Below are 18,457 nucleotides of genomic sequence, written 5' to 3'. Positions count from 1 at the left end.
TTTTGTTATGTCTCTGCTAGGCTTTGGTTTCAGGATGATGCTGGCCTCATCAAATGAGTTAGGGAGGATTCCTTCTTTTTCTGTTGACCCGGAATAGTTTCAGAAGGAATGGTACCAGCTCCTCTTTGTACCTCTGGTAGAATTTGGCTGTGAATCCATCTGGTCCTGGACTTTTTTTTGGTTGGTATGCAATTAATAATTGCCTCAATTTCAGAACCTGTTATTGGCCTATTCAGAGATTCAGCTTCTTCCTGGTTTAGTCTTGGGAGGGTGTATGTGTCTAGGAATTTATCCATTTCTTCTAGATTTTCCAGTTTATTTGCGTAGAAGTGTTTATATTATTCTCTGATGATAGTTTGTATTTCTGTGGGATCGGTAACTCCACGTGTTTTACTTCAGGTGTCAGTGTACATGAATCCACCACTCTGACTTCCCAATCTCATGGGAGCGCCTCTCGTTGAACAACACTAAAGAAACCATAGAGAGAAAAGGGGTTTTGGAAAATGTGCTCCTAGAAGTGATAGTAATGATGGGGAATTGACAGCTCACAGGCAAGTAAGGTGATTTTTTCCACAAGGCTCAAAATTTTGCCAGTTACGATTTATCCCAGAATATGTTTGAATGTGCTTTCAACTATTACCAGCATGTTTGGGGTCATAGCAAGAAAACTTTATTAAGTCATAGATAAAATGGGAAAATCAGGAAATTGTATGAAATATACAACAAAGCTGTATATGATGGCTCAGGCCTGTAATCCTGTGATAGTTAGTACAGTGTCAACTTGATTAGATCGAAGGATGTTAAGTATTGTTCCTGGCTGTGTCTGTGAGGGTGTTGCCAAAGGAGATTATTATTTGAGTCAGTAGGCTGGGGAAGGCAGACCCCCCGATTAATCTGATGGGCATCATCTATTCAGCTGACAGTGAATATAAAGGAGGCAGAAAAAGATGAAAAAGTGAGGCTGGCTAGCTTTTCTACATCTTTCTCCTGTGCTGGATGCTTCCTGCCCTCGAACATTGGACTCCAAGTTCTTCAATTTGGAGACTCAAACTGTCTCTCCTTGTTCCTCAAGCCTGCAGACAGCCTATTGTGGGGCCTTGTGATCCTGTAAAGTAATAAGTAATAAACTCATATATGTGAGTTCTATATAAATCCATATATATAATATGAGTTATATGTAGACTCACATATATCATATGAATTTATTATGTATTGGTTATATTACATATTAACTTACATATGTATGTCATATATATAATATATAAATATATGCACACACACACACACACACACACACACACACACACACACGCATCCTATTCTCTCCCTCTAGAGAATCCTCAGTAATACAGATTTTGGTACCAGGAGTGGTTCTATAGGAATAGAATATTAAGAAAGGAGTTCTTTCATTAGTTTTGGTGTTTCTGGAGTTTCATTGGTTGTGGGGTTTCTGGAGTTGGCTGTGTAATATGATTAGACCCCAAAATGCTAAGGATTGAACTTCTAATAGTATAGAGAACACTGATAGTCCTTGACATGAACGGTTTAGAGAGTTACGCAAAATAAATACATTTGACACTCCTGAATCATCACTGATGACAGGCAAGGAGTTTAGTGACTCTATACTTAATACCCTTGACAAACACTTTGCAAAATAGATTTGTGAGGAAGCACCTGCATCTTTGAAGAGCCCTATAATGGCTCTTCTCTGTATGTCAAATCTAATGGAGAGAACTGCAGTCACTCAATTACAAAATTTAAATACAATTGGGAATAATTGGACCCTGAGGTGGCAGGGGCCAAGTGGTGGCACTCAACCCTCAAAGGCATGGTGAACATAGCTACAGTAATGGACAGGAGAGATAAAGCAGCAATCAGAATAGTCTGACTCATGTAGAGCTCTGGCATTGGCTAATTAATCATTGTGTTCCTAGAAGTGAAATTGATAGGAAGTCTAATGCAGTCCTACTTAATTTATATAAGGAGAAGATTTCTAGGTCAAACAGACAAAAGACTAATTGGAATTATAAAAACAGAGATTCATGGCCCCTCCATCAATTTCCAGACTTGGAACACCAAGTTTTACAGACCCAGAACACCTTGAATGAAGGGGAGGCCGGGTCTCCTTGAGGAAGGAACCCACTACATTACTGACCATTTATGAAGTTAATCTTTCTCCCATCCTTCCCCAGAGAGACTTCTGGCCTTTTACCAGGGTAACTGTGCATTGGGGAAAGGGAAATGATAAGATATTTCAGGGACTCCTGGACACTGGCTCTGAGCTGACGTTGATTCCACGCACAACGTCATTGCAGTCCTCCAGCTAAAGTAGGGGCTTATGGAGGTCAGGTAATTAATGGAGTTTTAGCTGAGGTCCAACATAGTGGGTGCAGTGGGTCTCTGGACTCATCCTGTGGTCATTTCCCCAGTTCGAGAATGCATATTTGGCATAGACATACTTAGCAGCTGGCAGAACCCCCACATTGGCTTCCTAACTGGTAGAGTGAGTGCTCTTATGGTGGGAAAGGCCAAATGGGAGCCATTAGAGCTGCCTCTACCTAGAAAGATAGTAAATCAAAAACAATAATACACCCCTTGAGGGACTGCGGAGATTAGTGCCACCATCAAGGACTTGAAAGATTCAGGGATGGGGATTCCCACCACATCCCCATTCAACTCTCCTGTTTGGACTGTGCAGAAGGCACATGGATCATGGAGAATGACTGCAGATTATTGTAAGCTTACATAAGTGGTAACTCAAATTGCAGTTGATGTACCAGGTGTGGTTTCATTGCTTGAGGAAATTAACACATCTCTTTGTACCTGGTATGCAGCCATTGACTTGGCAAATGCCTTTTTCTCCATTCCTGTCCATAAGGGCCACCAGAAGCAAGTTGTCTCCAGCAGGAAAGGCCAGCAATATGCCTTTACTGACCTACCTCATGGGTGTGTCAATTCTCTGGCTTTGTGTCATAATGTTATTTGAAGAGAACTTGATCGCTTTTTGCTTCCACAAGATATCACACTGGTCCATTACATTAATGACATTATGCTGGTTGGATCCTGTGAGCAAGAAATAGCAAACACACTAGACTTACTGGTGAGACATTTGTGTGCCAGAGGATGGGAAATAAATCTGACTAAAATTTAGGGATCTTCTACCTCAGTAAACTTGCTAGGAGTACAGTGGTGTGGGGTCTGTTGAGATATTCCTTCTAAGGTGAAGAACAAGCTGCTACATTTGGCTCCTCCTACAACCAAGAAAGAGGCACAACACCTAGTGGGCCTGTTTAGATTTTGGAGGCAACACATTCCTCATTTGAGTGTTACTCCCGCCCATTTATTCAGCGACGCAAAAGGTTGCCCATATTCACTGGGGTTCAGAAAAAGAGAAGGCTCTGCAATAGGTCCAGGCTGCTGTGCAAGCCACTCTGCTACTTGGGACATATGACCCACCAGATCCAATGGTGCTTGAGGTGTCCGTGGCAGATAGAAATGCTGTTCTGAGCCTTTGGCAGACCCCCATATGTGAATCACCATGGGGGCCTCTAGGATTTTGGAGCAAGACCCTGCCATCTTCTGCAGATAACTGCTCTCCTTTTGAGAGACAGCTCTTGGCCTGTTACTGGGCTTTGATGGAAACTGATCATTTGACTATGGGTCAACAAGTCACCATGCGACCTGAACTGCCCATCATGAAGTGGGTGCTTTCTGACCCATCTAGCCATAGAGTGGGTCATGCATAGCAGTATTCCGTCATCAAATGGAAGCGGTATATATGTGACTCGGCTTGAGTAAGTCCTGAGGGCACAAGTAAGTTACGTGAGGAAGTAGCTGAAATGCTGATGGTCTCTACTCCTGCCACCCTTCCTTCTCTCCCACAGCCTGCACCGATGGCCTCATGGGGAGCTCCCTATGATCAGTTGAGGGAGGAAGAGAAGACTAGGGCCTGGTTCACAGATGGTTCTGCATGATATTCAGGCACCACCAAAAGCGGTCAGCTGCAGCACTACAGCCCCTTTCCAGGACATCTCTGAAGGACAGTGGTGAAGGGAAATCTTCCCAGTGGGCAGAACACTGAGCAGTGCACCTGGCTGTGCACTTTGCATGGAAGGAGAAATGACGAGATGTGTTTTCATATAGTGATTCATTGGCTGTAGACAATGGTTTGGCTGGATGGTGAGGGACTTGGAAGAAGCATGATTGGAGAATTGGTGACAAAGAAGTTTGGGGAAGAGGTATGTAGATAGACCTCTCTGAGTCGTCAAAAACTGTGAAGATATTTGTATCCCATGTGAGTGTTCACCAACGGGTGACCTCAGCAGAGGAGGATTTTGATAATCAAGTGGATAAGATGACCCGTTCTGTGGATACCACTCAGCCTCTTTCCCCAGACACCCCTGTCATCATCCAATGAGCCCATGAACATAGTGGCCATGGTGGCAGGGATGGAGGCTATGCATGGATTCAGCAATGTGGACTTCCACTCACCAAGGCTGAACTGTGGCCACTGCTGAGTGCCCAATTTGCCAGCAGCAGCAGAGACCAACACTGAGCCCTTTGTATGGCACCATTCCCTGTGGTGAGCGGCCAGCTACCTGGTGGCAGGTTGATTATATCGGACCTCTTCCATCATGGAAAGGGCAGAGGTTTGTCCTCACTGGAATAGACACTTACTCCGGATATGGGTTTGCCTACCTGCACGCAATGCTTCTGCCAAGACTACCATTCACAGACTCACGGAATGCCTTATCCACCATCACAGTATTCCATACAGTATTGCCTCTGACCAAGCACTCACTTTACAGGTAAAGAAGTGGGGCAGTGGGCTCATGCTCATGGAATTCACTGGTCTTACCATGTTCCCCATCATCCTGAAACAGCTGGATTGATAGAACAGTGGAATGGCCTTTTGAAGTCACAATTACAATGCCAACTAAATTACAATACTGTGCAGGGCTGGGGCAAAGTACTCCAGAAGGCCTTGTAGGCTCTGAATCAGCGCCCAATGTATGGTACTGTTTCTCCCATAGCCAGGATTTACAGGTCCAGGAATCAAGGGGTGGAAGTGAAAGTGGAACCACTCACTGTCACCCCTAGTGATCCACTAGCAAAATGTTTGCTTTCTGTTCCCGCGACATTACGTCCTGCTTTACTAGACATCTTAGTTCCAGAGGGAGGAATGCTGCCACCAAGAGACAAAATAATGATTCCATTAAATGGGAAGTTAAGATGGCCAGCTGGGCACTTTGGGCTCCTCCTACCTTTAAGTTAACAGGATAAGAATGGAGTTACAGTGTTGGCTGCGGTGATTGACCCAGACTATCAAGATGAAGTCAGTCCACTACTCCACAATGGAAGTGAGGAAGAGTATGCGTGGAATACAGGAGATCCATTAGGGCGTCTCTTGGGATTATCATGCACTCTGATTAAGGTCAATGGGAAACTACAACAGCCCAACCCAGGTAAGACCTAAATGGTCCAGATCCCTCCGGGGTCACAACCTGCTGAGGTGCTTGCTAAAGGCAAAGGAAATACAGAATGAATAATGGAAGAAGGTAGTAATCAATACCAGCTGTGACCATGTGACCAGCTGCAGAAATGAGGACTGGAACTGTCATGAGTATTTCTTTCTTCTTTTCTTAAAAAACATCTTTGTGCATGTATACACTTGTACTAAGAAAATATCTTGATTTCATTTCCTTTTTCTTTATCAGGTGACATAAGAGTTATTGACTTCATATCAGCATTTAAGCATTGTTCACTTTATGTAATAGTATTTGGGTTGGCGATTGGTGCGTTTCCGGTTGTAGGAAGGATAGTTATGTTAGGTGTAATTACGACCACATTATTGTCTTTATTTTAAGATTAGGTATGATCTCAGGAGATGTGTATGTGTTCAAGGTGACAAGGGGTGGGCTTGTGATGGTTAATACTGAGTGTCAACTTGATTGGATTGAGGAGGTAAAGTATTGGTCCTGGGTGTGTTTGTGAGGGTGTTGCCAAAGGAGATTAATATGTGAGTCAGTGGGCTGGGAAAGGCAGACCCGCCCTTAATCTGTGTGGGCACAATCCAGTCAGCTGCCAACACAGCTAGACTATAAGCAGGCAGAAAAATGTGAAAAGAGATGGGCCTCACCTCCCAGCCTACATCTTTCTCCCGTGCTGGATGCTTCCTGCCCTCGAACATGGACTCCTAGTTCTTCAGTTTTGGAACTCTGGCTGGCTCTCCTTGCTCCACAGCCTGCAGACATCCTATTGGGAGACCTTGTGATTGTGTGAGTTAATACTTAATAAACTTCCTGTATTAGCCAGTGACATCTAGAGGGACAGAACTAACAGGAGATTTATACATATACACACATACATACACACACACATATATACACAGACACACATATATATATACACACACACACACATATATACATATATATATATAAATGTAGGAAGTTTCCGTTTTTCCCTCAAAACAAGTACGTTCCCCCAAGTTCAGGCCCCTGAATAGGCAGCAGGAGGGTGTATGCAGAGTCTCCACTAAAGTGATTTGACCACTCCTAGTCAGGCATCAGTAATACTCCCCAGAACCCCAGGCTGAAGCCCACTGATGCTGATGTAGTTCAATCCACTTCCTCTACGACTGCACCAGGCTGAGATGCCTTGGCCCCTGTTAAAGATGTGACATATAATGGATGCGAATCTGTGTTCAGTTTTGTCCAAATCCAAGTGATTTCTCCATATACATGGGTACTTACTGGAAAGGAGATGGAGACTCTCTGTCCTAGATGTGAGACAGGAGGCTGGCACCTGGGTTAGGATGACCTTCCCTCACTGCTAAAGAGTAAAAGAGGAAAGAAAGTGGCATTGATAGTGCAAGGCAGGGATATGCCCTGAGCAGCAGCTGCCCTCACTAGGAGGGAAGACTCACTGTCCTGGTCTTTCCCAAGCTCTCCCCGTCACCTGATCTCCAGGAATCCAGGCTCCAGAGGAGCTCCTCCTGAGTCCCCAGGAACATGCTAGTGGGCAGTGCAGCCCAGACCATTACTCAGGGAATATGGCATTAGTCTTTTTTTGGAGACAATTGATCCCTGAATAATTTCAAGTTTATCCTAATCCATGCTTCTATAATTGGAGGAAGAAACAAGTGACTTTTTTTTTATTTTTTAAGTAGTCAGGTCTAGCATCACTACTCAGCCCTTCATGCTGATGAATCCTGGGAAGAAATAACCAATGACAGAAACAGGAATAGAATATGGAGGCCCTGAAACCAAAAATAAGATGCATTCCATAAAATCCCTGGCGTTAAAGAGGTCCATAGGTTTGGATAATGGTAGATCTGTGAGCAATACATGCTTTGAGGTTGAGGGTATCATCTTTGTGCATCTGCAGGGAATTGCTTGAACAGATAGTGATAATCATAATAATGAATTAAAGTCATTCCAAAATACTGAAAGTATTTAAATACTGAAATATATTTAGCATTATCTTGATAAATTTTTTTAAAGGGAAGAAACAATTTCACACTCACAGAAATGTTGTAAGTATACCACAATGTATCCCCTTCCCTTTCAGAGTATATCAAATACCCGATGATCACACCCTCTAAAACTTTACTATCATTTTCCTACAGAGAAGAATATTCTCCTAAATAATCCCAATACACCAATGGAATATATTATTTCATCAGGTACTCAGCAGTATTTCAAATTTTGAGAAGTATCAAAAAATGTGCTCTGTGACAAAGTGGTCCCCAGGAAGAAACACGTTATTTACAGACATATCTGTACTGCCCTGGTTTGACCTGGGACCCTAGGGACATTGTTCCTATGCTGAGTTACTGAGATGAGCCAGCCCTGCAGCTATGCCCAGCCTGCTCCACTCCCTGCTGATTAGCATGTTCCCAGAGCACAGCCCCCTGCCCTGAAGACTTCTTAATAGGCTGGTCACACCCTGTGCAGGAGTCAGCCCCAGTCAGGACACAGCACGGACGCGAGGGCCCCCACTCAGCTCCTGGGGCTCCTGGGGCTCTGGCTGCCAGGTAAGGAAGGAGAACACTAGGAATTTACTCAGCCAGTGTGCTCAGTACAGCCTGGCTCTTCAGGGAGGGCTTCTTATAAATGATTGATTATGTAGATGTTTGTTTTTATGTTTCCAACCTCAGGTACCAGACGTGATATCCAGATGACCCAGTCTCCATCCTCCCTGTCTGCATCTGTAGGAGACAGAGTCACTATCACTTGCCAGGTGAGTCACAGCATTAGTAATAAATTAGTCTGGTATCAGCAGAAACCAGGGAAAGCCCCTACTCTCCTAATTCATGCTGCAACAAAACTGCAGACGGGGGTCCCATCCTGGTTCAGTAGCAGTCAATCTGGGACAGATTTCACTCTCACCATCAGCAGCCTGCAGCCTGCAGCGTGATGATTTGGCCACTTATTACTATCAACAGCATTACAGTTACCCTCCTACTGTGTTGCAAGTGATAACATAAACCACACAGGGAAGCAGATGTGTGAGGCTGGGCTGCCCCTGCTGCTCCTCCTGGTGCCCTCATCTGCTGAGAGCAATTCTCAAATTGCAGTCAAACTTTGAAGGTCATTGGAAAGTTTTGGTAGAAGGGTCTATGAAGTCTCCTGTATACCTTAACAGTCTTTCCTTCTCCTCATCCCCAGTAGCACAGACATGGCAATGTCTCTCCTGATTTCATTAAGAAGTGATTATTACACCTGAGGAGTCTGAGTTATGGTGTCAGTTGTAATTAATATCTCAAAGAATAAGCCACTCTTGAAATTCCAAGTAGGATTATTTTTCTAAATATAGGGAATGAGAGTCTAAACAACAGCTTTTAAAAGGCTTGGGGGCATAGTAGTCAAAGATGCAAATACTACAAGAGAAAGATTATTTGGATCTCCTCAAGAATCCAGAGTGCATCTTCCACAGAAGGTGTAATTGCCAATCGTGTGGTCTTCAGACATTTCTGGGAAGCCCAGGTTCAGGGCTGCTGATGCTCTGCTTGGAGGGCCTGCCTGAATTCTGTAGCATTTGCTTACAAGTGAACAGCCAGCATCTTATTCCAGAGGGAACTAGCACATGCAGATGATCCAGATTTAACAACCACACCTTTTCTTTATGGACGTTGCCCTCTTTGACTTTTCCCGCAGCCTTTTTCATTCACTGTACTTCTGCTGACCCCTCATGGCCATGTCTGTGCCTCCCTGCTGTCTCTGAAGCTGGGGAAGCAGCTCTGCTTGCACATGTGGCAGATCTCAGGGCCTGAAATGTGCATCACCTAGAACAGCCCTCAATCAGTGAGAACAGGTGACGTGTATAAATACCCCAACTCCCTCACCTCTCAGGTGGAATAGCCCAGAGGCATTCTCTTATGTTTCCATGTGGGCTTCAGCTCTTGTGGTCCTCATGGGTAGCTGCTGGCTGACAGGCCTTTCACTGTCCATCATCTCTTCCCTGCCTCACTTTCTGCCTTCAGTCTCAGGGTTTCCTGCAGCTTGTAATTATGGTGCTCACATGGGAATCCTTGTCGTTAGAAACCCAACCTAAGACTATAGGCAAATCCTCATTAGTGGAGGTGTCATCAAATTGTTGATACTTCTCCTCTTATAATGGATAGAGAAATTTAGAAAATGTCTAAAACATTTAATTTGTTTTATCAGTCTCTCATAGATTCTGATTAAATAGCAATTCCTTTCTTCTGGGTCACAACATCAGAGGAGCCCCTAACAAATAGCTCCACACTATGAGGTCCACATTAGAGCAGCAGGAGAAGAATCTTCCAGCCCAGGAAACACCCAGACCAGAGGGCCCTGACTCAGATCCCTTCAGCTCTCTTGCTTTATAAAGCTGCTGGCTGCTCCCTGTTCTCCCTTCTCCCAGCCGTGAGGCTTTGGATTCTTCTTTAAGGAAGGCAGCTGGCAGACAATTAGGGGGTTTGGTAGTCTGAGTAAATTACTATCCCCCCATGAAAAGATGTTCACCTTCTACCCTCTGGAACCATAAAATTAGCCTTATATGGCAAAAGGAACTTAAAATCAGCCCCTTCTGCAGTTTCTTCTGCAAAAATGCAACTTTCTCAAAGACTTTAAATCTCTGAACAGCTTTATTTCAGACTTGGGGGAAGGGTCACATCTTTCCTTGCCCTGAGCCTTCCTCCTCTCTTCCATTAGTTTCCATCTCTGACTCCAGCCTTCCCTCTTTCTTCCTAATTAGATTGTGTCCTGCAAATCTAATTTGTCCTCCTACTAGGAAATCCCACCCTCCTCAGGAGTAATGAGATCTGACCCCTAGGCTCTCAGACACCTGCAGTGTACAAAACTCAATCTAGGGGTTTACCCAGGAGATTTTCTCCCTACGTGGAATTCTGGTGCTAGCTCTCCTTATAGTAAACTGTGCTCTGTCTCTTGTCCAAATTGAAACCAAAGGCTAACAAGTTGGAAAAGGCTGAGAGATCAGAGAGAAACATCTTCTCAGAGAGGCAAATGCCATTCTTTCACCTTGTGTGAGTTTCCTATAGCAGCTGTAACAAATCACTATGTCATTACTGGCTTCAAATAGCATAGAATCATTCTTTCACAATTCTGGAAGAGAGAAATCTCACACAGGTGTCTTTGGGCTAAAATCAAGCTTCCCTGTGGGAAAGAGTTTGTTTTCTTGCCTTTTCCATCTTCTAGAGGCTGCTGTCTTTCCTTGGCCATGGCCTTTCCCTCACATCACTCAGCTTCTTCATAGTCACATCTCCTCTCCAAATCTGACCCTCCTTCCTCCCTCTTATGCAGACAATTATGATTACATGGGGTCCAAAAATACTCCAAGATAGTATTCAGTTCTCAAGATCCTTCATCACATTTGCCAAGTTTTTCTACCATAAAATTCCCCACCAATCCATTTATGTATAGAGTTGATAGTTAAACAAGAAGATCGGAAATGGCCATTGCATCTTTAGTCTGGATTTTCCCTGAGCACTTTTTGTGTTATTTTTCTAGGGCTGCTGTAACAAATTGCCAAACATTTAGTGGCATAAAAATAGAACATCCAGAGGCCTCTCTGCAGACATCTGGCTGGCTCTGGGGTGACCCCTGTCCCAGCCTCTGGAGTGGAACCCTGGGAATGGGGCAGCATCACTGGCCCTGCTCAGTCCAGCCTCAGCCACCATGGGACCCGAGGCATCTACGTCACCCCCACCACTTCCTGGCAGCCACAGGTGGAGTGAGCCTGCCTGCCCTGGGAGACTCCTGGAGAGGGGCTCTGCTTAAGGTCATCAGGCCTTGACTCCAAGGAAATCTGTGCTTATTTAAATCTTGGGATGTGCAACCTGTTTATACAGAGCCATGACAGGAATGACCTGCCCATCCACACTCCCCTTGCCCTTAGGTCTAGAAGCAGCAGGTTCCCTGGACACTCCAAGATGCTCTTCCTGGCCCTGCTCCTCTGCCTCTTGGTGATGGGCTTTCAGGGTGAGTGCATTTCCCACTGCAGACCATGCAGGGGCTTTAGCCCTTGACATGGGGATAATGAGCTCAAATGTGCTTTGGAAATTATAGTGTAACATATAGAAGTGATTTGCCTTAACTCTCATTAGGAAACTGAGGCACAGAGTCCAGGGCTAACCAGGAGGCAGAGGTGCATACAGCCCTGAACCTGTTCCCAGCCTCCCTGAGGACCATGGATCCTCTGTCCCTGCTCACACCCCATGTCCACCTCTCTTCAGAGCTCACTGTGGTTCTGGTCAGGCTGTGAAGAATGGACCTGACCATTAGCCCCTCAGGGTGGGCTCTACCATGCTTGTATCCCCTTTCATAGGTGCCCTTGTCCTGAGAACCCCTCCCCAGCCAATTCTATCTTGATTCTGATCAAATGCAAAGATGTGAGGGCCCAGGAGTACTAATTTCTGTCATGTTTAAGCATGACAGGGTCTTCTAAGGAACAGGACAGGTTTCTAGAAATCCTTTGAGAGAAGTAATGCATTGTGCTCCTGAATAGGGTGTCCTTGCAGGATGCAGGGGACAGACTATCTCAACTCCATCTCCGGAGACCTTAGCAGCATCTGGAGGTGACTTTGTCTCTATCACCTGCAGAAACAGCACAGATGTAGGCACCTCCATCACCTAGGACAAGCAGAGATCCCAGGAGGCTTCCAGTCTGCTGCTCTTTGGGGCTTCTTCCCAGGCTGCTGGAACCGCTTCCAGTTTCCAGGGAAGTTTCTGGTTTTTGCTTCTCCCTCTCCATCCATGGAGTGAAAGCTGAAGATGCTGGAGTGTTTTCCTGCCAGCAGCCCTTCAGTTGGCTTCTTACAGTGAAAAGTCCCCAACCAAAAATACCCTTTCTGGATGGAAGATTCTGCCCTGATGCAAAGACACTTGCTTCCTGCAGAAGCCATAATCTGAGAGTGTGAAGCGTTCATATTATAGTTGTCTTTGTTCTCAGAGTCTGTGATTTCTGGCCTGTTGATACAGGGGAAGATTGAAGAGTTATTACTTCAAGTTTACACCTGATCTACAAAGAGGGAGAGGCAAAGGGTTGTGAAGCTAAGGTGTTTCCTAGACAGGTGCTTTACCTGGATTGATATATTAATTTTTCCATTTTCTTGCAGCATATAAGAGCACTCCAAAACTTAAAGGAGTGAAACAACAATTTATTATTTGTTGTGATTCTATGGGTTGGTTGGGAGGTTTTTCTGCTGCCTGGCCTGGGCTTTCTCATGCAGCTGCCGTCAGCTGAATGGTTTTTATGTGTCGTGAACTGAACTAACTCTTTTTATGACAAGTATGTTTTATTCTCATCTTCAGCTGACAATACTGAGGCAGGGAGAGGTCATGAAATGCCTCCAAGGGGCGCATTACATCCAAATTGTAAGCCAGGATTCTACTCAGAAAATCTGACTCACAGAAGTCAGTGAGGAGTGTGACAAGACGGGGATTCTGCAGGGCTACCTGGATGGGACACTCTGTGAGAGGCCCCAGAAGTGCTGCTAGAGAGTGGAGTGGTCCCTGTGCAACAATTTGAGCACATGGTTTTGTCTCTTAACACCTTCGAGAAGTTCATTAATAGACATTAAGGGAGGGAAGTAGTGTGATTAAAATGGCATTTTCAATAGCTAAGAATCACAGAAAAATGTTACTTTATGTGACTCCTAAGATAATGACAAGGAAACAAGAAAATAATATGAAGGCAAAAAAGAAAACATTAGACTGAGGCCTTTGGATAGCAGGTTGAGACTCCTCGTAGTGGAGAGCACGTGGGTATCTTCTTTCAGGAGATGTGAACAAGCAGGGAAAGGAAATGTGAGCTAGAACAAAATCTTGGTTACTCACAAGAAGCCTAAGAGGAAATGAGAAGTCTTCTTCCTGAGCACCAGAAGGCAGAGAAAAAATTCTCCATGAAAAAAAACAAACAAGAGAAGTTAGAGGAATTGCATGCTCAACACATCCCACAAAACACCTTGCAACCAGCAGAGGGGGAGCCAATAATCTCAGAACTCAAATGTTTCCCAAATCTCACCATTTCCCCACCTTCACCCCCACTGCTCCACACTAGTGAAACCAACATCATCTTCATCTTAGACCATGGCCAGGCTCTCCTCAGATCACCCAGCTTCTCCCCTCACCCACCAGCAGTCTACTCCCAATTCAGTAGCCAGGGTGATCTTTTAAATAGATGAATAGTGCTCCTCCAGGGTCAAAATCTCACAAAAGTTTCCACATCACACAGAGTAAAAGGCCAATTCCTACCTGGCCCCATCTTCCTTGAACCCTCCCTGTTACTTATGCAACCGCTTTCATGGTTCTGTCCTCTGACTCACTGGACTCCAGACTTGACTCTCTGGTTTCCTGGTTCTGCCCTAAACAAGGCTCACACAGTCCCACGCTTGGAGCTCTACTCACTGGTCCCTCAGCAGTGATGCTTTTCTCCAGACCCCTCTTGGGCTCCCTCCCTGACTCCCAAAGACAACCTAGAACTTCCCATCTTAATGATCTCTCTGAATGTGTTCATAGGACACCCTACTCCATGCTTTTGCTGGAGGCGTTTTTCACATTCTACCTTATATATATATATAATTTATTTCTTTATGATTTTACACTTTATATGCTGACTCCCTTTAGATGAATTTAAGCTTCATGGGATCGGGGCCATTGTCTATTATTTGCATTGCTGTATCCCAGTGTATTGGGAGTACCTGGCAAACAGTAGGTGCTCAGTGGGGGGCACTCTTCCCAGCAGTCTGTATGTCTAGAATTCTGGGAAGATTGTAAAGAGTGGATTAAACTGCTTGTTATATGGAAATGTTTCCTTTTCCTTTTTTTATTCCTTTTTCGTACTCAGTCTTTAGGAAATAAGGAAAATTATAATTCTCAGAACTTATATCCTTTTCTCAAGTGATATTTTAGGTTCTATTTCCTGAAAACATATAATAGCAATATAACATTATTGTACTCAATTGATTATATTACATATATAATGATCTATGTACTACACAAGTCATAACTACAGTAAAATTGACTTTCCATTTAAAAGACAAAACATATCAGATTATATCAGGAGTAAAATAATTGATACTTCAGTTTTGTTAGCTAAGAAAGAAAACTGAGTACATTACTTAGATGTTTAGATAAGAAAGAAAACAAATTTCCACAATTGTGATTAATAATTTTAAATGGAATGTAATTTAAAGAGCTTCTCAGCCTGTTCAGGGGAACCTCGCTCACCACTACATGTTCACAATTCTGAGGAACACAAGAAAACCCCAGACAAGATTCTTGTTTCCATCAGTGGTGTGAACAGAGGTTTTCAAAACTGTTAAAGGGAAAAGAGTCTGAGCGTGGGTGAATGGTTGTGTTGTGCAGAATGGAGTGCTTTAGAGAAGAGAAGATACCACCCCCAATTTTTCCTGGCCAGCTGGACAGCACCATCGTCTGTCTGCAGAGAGTGGAATCACACAATGATGAGTCTGAGCCTGGAGTCTGCTTATCTTTGTAGCTGTGGTCACTCATGCACCCACAGTGCTTGGCCTAACAAAGTGATGTCCTTTACTGGTTCTTCCAAATAATGGAAAATGTTCAGGGCTCATAGAAATGATGTCTAAGCTGCAAAGGAAAAGTGTGTATAGAAGATGAATTTCTGATCAATGACTTCAGCCAGGTACAATCATGCAGCCAGGAAGATGACTGGGCATGTTAGGGGAAGAAAGAGAAAAAGAAACCATAGATTTTTATTTTTTCTTTCAAGAGGTTTGTACTAAACACCATCTGTCTGAGCCTAGGTAACTGGTGAGGTAGGACGGGGATTAAATTGGGAGTCCGGAAGGGAGAAGGTCTACCCTCATGCTGAGCCAATAGCCTTTCTGACCTGACCACTTGGGCAGGGGCTTCTCAATGAAAAAAAGAGGAGGCAGGTGGTCTCTGCAGCTAGAAGCACAGCAAGTCCAATGCTTCTTTGCATGTTCCTCCCAGCCATGCTGCTGTTCAGAGCCCATATCAATACCTGGGTCAGAACTCAGGGCAAGCACTGCTCAGTTAGGACAAGAGAGACTCATGGAAGCCCCATCTCAGCTTCTCTGCCTCCTGTACTCTAGCTCCCAGGTGAGGGGAAGAGGAGATGGCTCTACACTGAAACTCTCTCAACCTTGTTGGTTCCTCTGACCTGGCATCCCTGCTGAGCAAGAACAGTAATTATAATTCAGTGTAGATTAGTGACTGTGGTTATACTATGAAGATTGTGGGCTTGATGCAGTTTATATGAGTGATTTTCCTGTTTTATTCTAATCTCATGTCCCTCCAGAGAAGTTATGTTGATGCAGTCTCTTGACTCCTTGTCTTTGTCTTCAGGGAAAAGAGACTCTCTCATCTGTGTGTGCAGTCAGAGCATTGGCAGCTCCTTAGCCTGGTATCAGCAGAAACCTGGAAAAGCTCCCTGGTTCCTCATCTAAGGCACATCCAACAGGGCCACTAGCATCCTGGGGTTTAGTGGTCATGGATTGGAGACAGACTTTACTATCACCATCAGCTGCCTGAAGCCTAAGATTTTTCACTTCTTTGTCTTTTTTTTTAATCTTTGTTTGTTTAAAGTCTGTTTTGTCAGAAACGGTAACCCCTTCTTTTTTCTGTTTTCCATTTCCTTGGTAGGTTTTTCTCCATCCCTTTATTTTGAGCATATGTGTATCATTGCATGTGAGATGGGGCTCTTGAAAACAGCATACCAATGAGTCTTAGTTCTTTTTCCAACTTTCCATTCCGTGTCTTTTAATTGAAGCACTTAGCCCATTTACTTCTAAGGTGAGCATGAATATGTGTGGGTTTGATCGTGTCATCATGATGTCAGCTGGTTATTTCACAGACTTGTTTATGTGATTGCTTTATTGCATCACTTGTTTGAGTACTTCAGTGTGTTTTTGTAGTGGCTGGTAATGGTCTTTCCTTTCCATACTTAGTGCTTCCTTCAGGAGCTCTTGTAAGGCAGGTTTGGTGGTGACGTATTCCCTCAGCATTTGCTTGTCTTAAAAGGATCTTATTTCTCTTCACTTATGAAGCTTAGTTTGGCTGGACATAACATCCTGGGTTGGAGTTTCTTTTCCTTTAGGATGTTGAATATTGACCCACAATTTCTTCCAGTTTGTAGGATTTCTGCTTAGAGATCCACGTTAGTCTGATGGGCTTTTGTTTGTAGGTGAGCTGGCCTTTCTCTCCAGCTGCCTTTAAAATTTTTGCTTTCCTTCTCACCTTGGAGAATCTGACAATTATGTGTCTTGGAAATGATCTTCTTGTAGATTATCTTACTTTTGTGTTCTCCAAATTTCCTGAATTTGAATGTTGGCCTCTTTAGATAGGTGGGGGAATTTTTCATAGATGATATCCTGAAATATATTCTCCAGGTTTGTTTCATTTGCCCCATCCCTTTCAGGTATACCAATCAGCTGTAGAATGGGTCTCTTTACATAATCCAATATCTCTTGGAGGTTTTGTTTATTCCTTTTCATTATTTTTTCTATATTCCTGCCTGCCCACCTTATCTTAGTCAGTGTTCAAGCTCTGAGATTCTTTTCCCCACATGGTATGTTGTGCTATTAATACTTGTGATTGCACTATGAAATTCCTGTAGTGTGTTTTTCAGATCTAACATGCTGGTTATGTGCTTCTCTGTACTGGCTATTTTGTCTGTCATCTGCTGAAAATTTTTTTCATTATTTTTAGCTTTCTTGAATTGGGTTACAACATACTCCTGCAACTCAATGAATTTTATTCCTATTCCTATTATAAATTCTACTTCTGTCATTTCAGCCATCTCAGGTTCAGCCTGGATGTGAACCCTTGATGGAGAGGTGATGTAGTCATTTGGCAGAAAGAAACCATTCTGGCTTTTTGAGTTTTCAGTGGAGAACTAATTGATTAATTTTTTTGTGCTTAGTGCTTTGTGTATCTTCTATACAAAATCTTTTTTCACATGTATAGTCATGAAATATCTTTTTATGGTATTGTTTAAAAGCTTTATACTTTTGACTTTACATTTCAGGTTATGATTTACAATTAATGTGCGTATCAATATAGAGGTAAAATGTGCAGGATAAGATTCATTTTGACATCATATGGATATCCAATTGATCCAATATAATTCAGTTATCATATTTTTTTCTACTAAATCACTGCTATGGTCTGATTGTGTCCCCTCCAAAGTTCCTGTTGAAACTGAATTTTCAAGACAACAGTATTAGACATTGGATTCTTTGGTGATTAGCTCATGAGGGCTCTGCACTCATGATAAGATTAATAAGATTAATAATGCCTAAGAAAAGTGGCTTCACATTGATTCCAGCCTTCATCTGGACTCCCCCCCAAAAAAACACATAAACACACACAAAATAGCAAAACCAACAATTAGACAGCTATCCAAGAAAGAAAACAGCCCTTGGAGTGCTCCAGAATCCAATTAAAGAAGTGCAGGAACACAACGGGAGAAAAGCGCAGAGTAACCATGCAGGAAGGATGGCTGGGAGATGGCACATCTGAGAGTTTTGAGACAGCCAGGGGCAAAGAAGCAGGAGGCAAGTGTTACCAGCTAGGAGGCAGGGCCACTGCAGTCCCCATGGCCTGCTCTGTGGAGGACCCTGCAGCCTTGGCAGCTGAGGACCTCAGTATCCCCCAAGGCAGCTCCACTCTACAGCTTTCCTAATGAAGGCCCCTTAGTGTTCATTAATAAGGATCACAACAGCCTGCTCCAAAGAGGACACTGGTGATTTTGGCACTAAAAAAATCTGCAGCCATGGGCATGTACATCACCGCAGAGAGGAAGATTCTGCGACCTTCCCTCCACATCCTCCCAAGAAGCAGCCACTGTTGTGCGGCCTGGGATGGGGCTGCCTCCCAGCCCCAACTCTGCATCATCCCAACCCAGGCTCCGGGACCTCATCCTGTGTTGGCAACTCAGACCCTGAGCCACTTCCATGTGGACCAGC

At 43.9% G+C, this 18,457-nt stretch overlaps 2 pseudogenes, besides 1 other annotated feature; both read left to right on the top strand.

Moving 5' to 3' along the window:
* Positions 7,334-9,260, top strand: IGKV1OR22-1 (immunoglobulin kappa variable 1/OR22-1 (pseudogene); annotated as a pseudogene).
* Positions 7,836-9,035: an enhancer, noted in NCBI's record as "P300/CBP strongly-dependent group 1 enhancer chr22:17413842-17415041 (GRCh37/hg19 assembly coordinates)". NCBI's record gives its function as "activates an origin of replication core promoter dependent on BRD2, BRD4, P300/CBP, MED14 and CDK7 cofactors, with strong dependence on P300/CBP, by STARR-seq in HCT116 cells {active_cell/tissue: HCT116}" and the evidence as "EXISTENCE:reporter gene assay evidence [ECO:0000049][PMID:35650434]".
* Positions 15,543-15,937, top strand: IGKV3OR22-2 (immunoglobulin kappa variable 3/OR22-2 (pseudogene); annotated as a pseudogene).

Source organism: Homo sapiens, chromosome 22, assembly GCF_000001405.40.
Source record: "Homo sapiens chromosome 22, GRCh38.p14 Primary Assembly".
In the NCBI taxonomy this organism is placed as follows: Eukaryota; Metazoa; Chordata; class Mammalia; order Primates; family Hominidae; genus Homo; species Homo sapiens.
The sequence above is the reverse complement of the archived record's forward strand: the minus strand, read 5'-3'. Positions and strand labels throughout refer to the sequence as shown.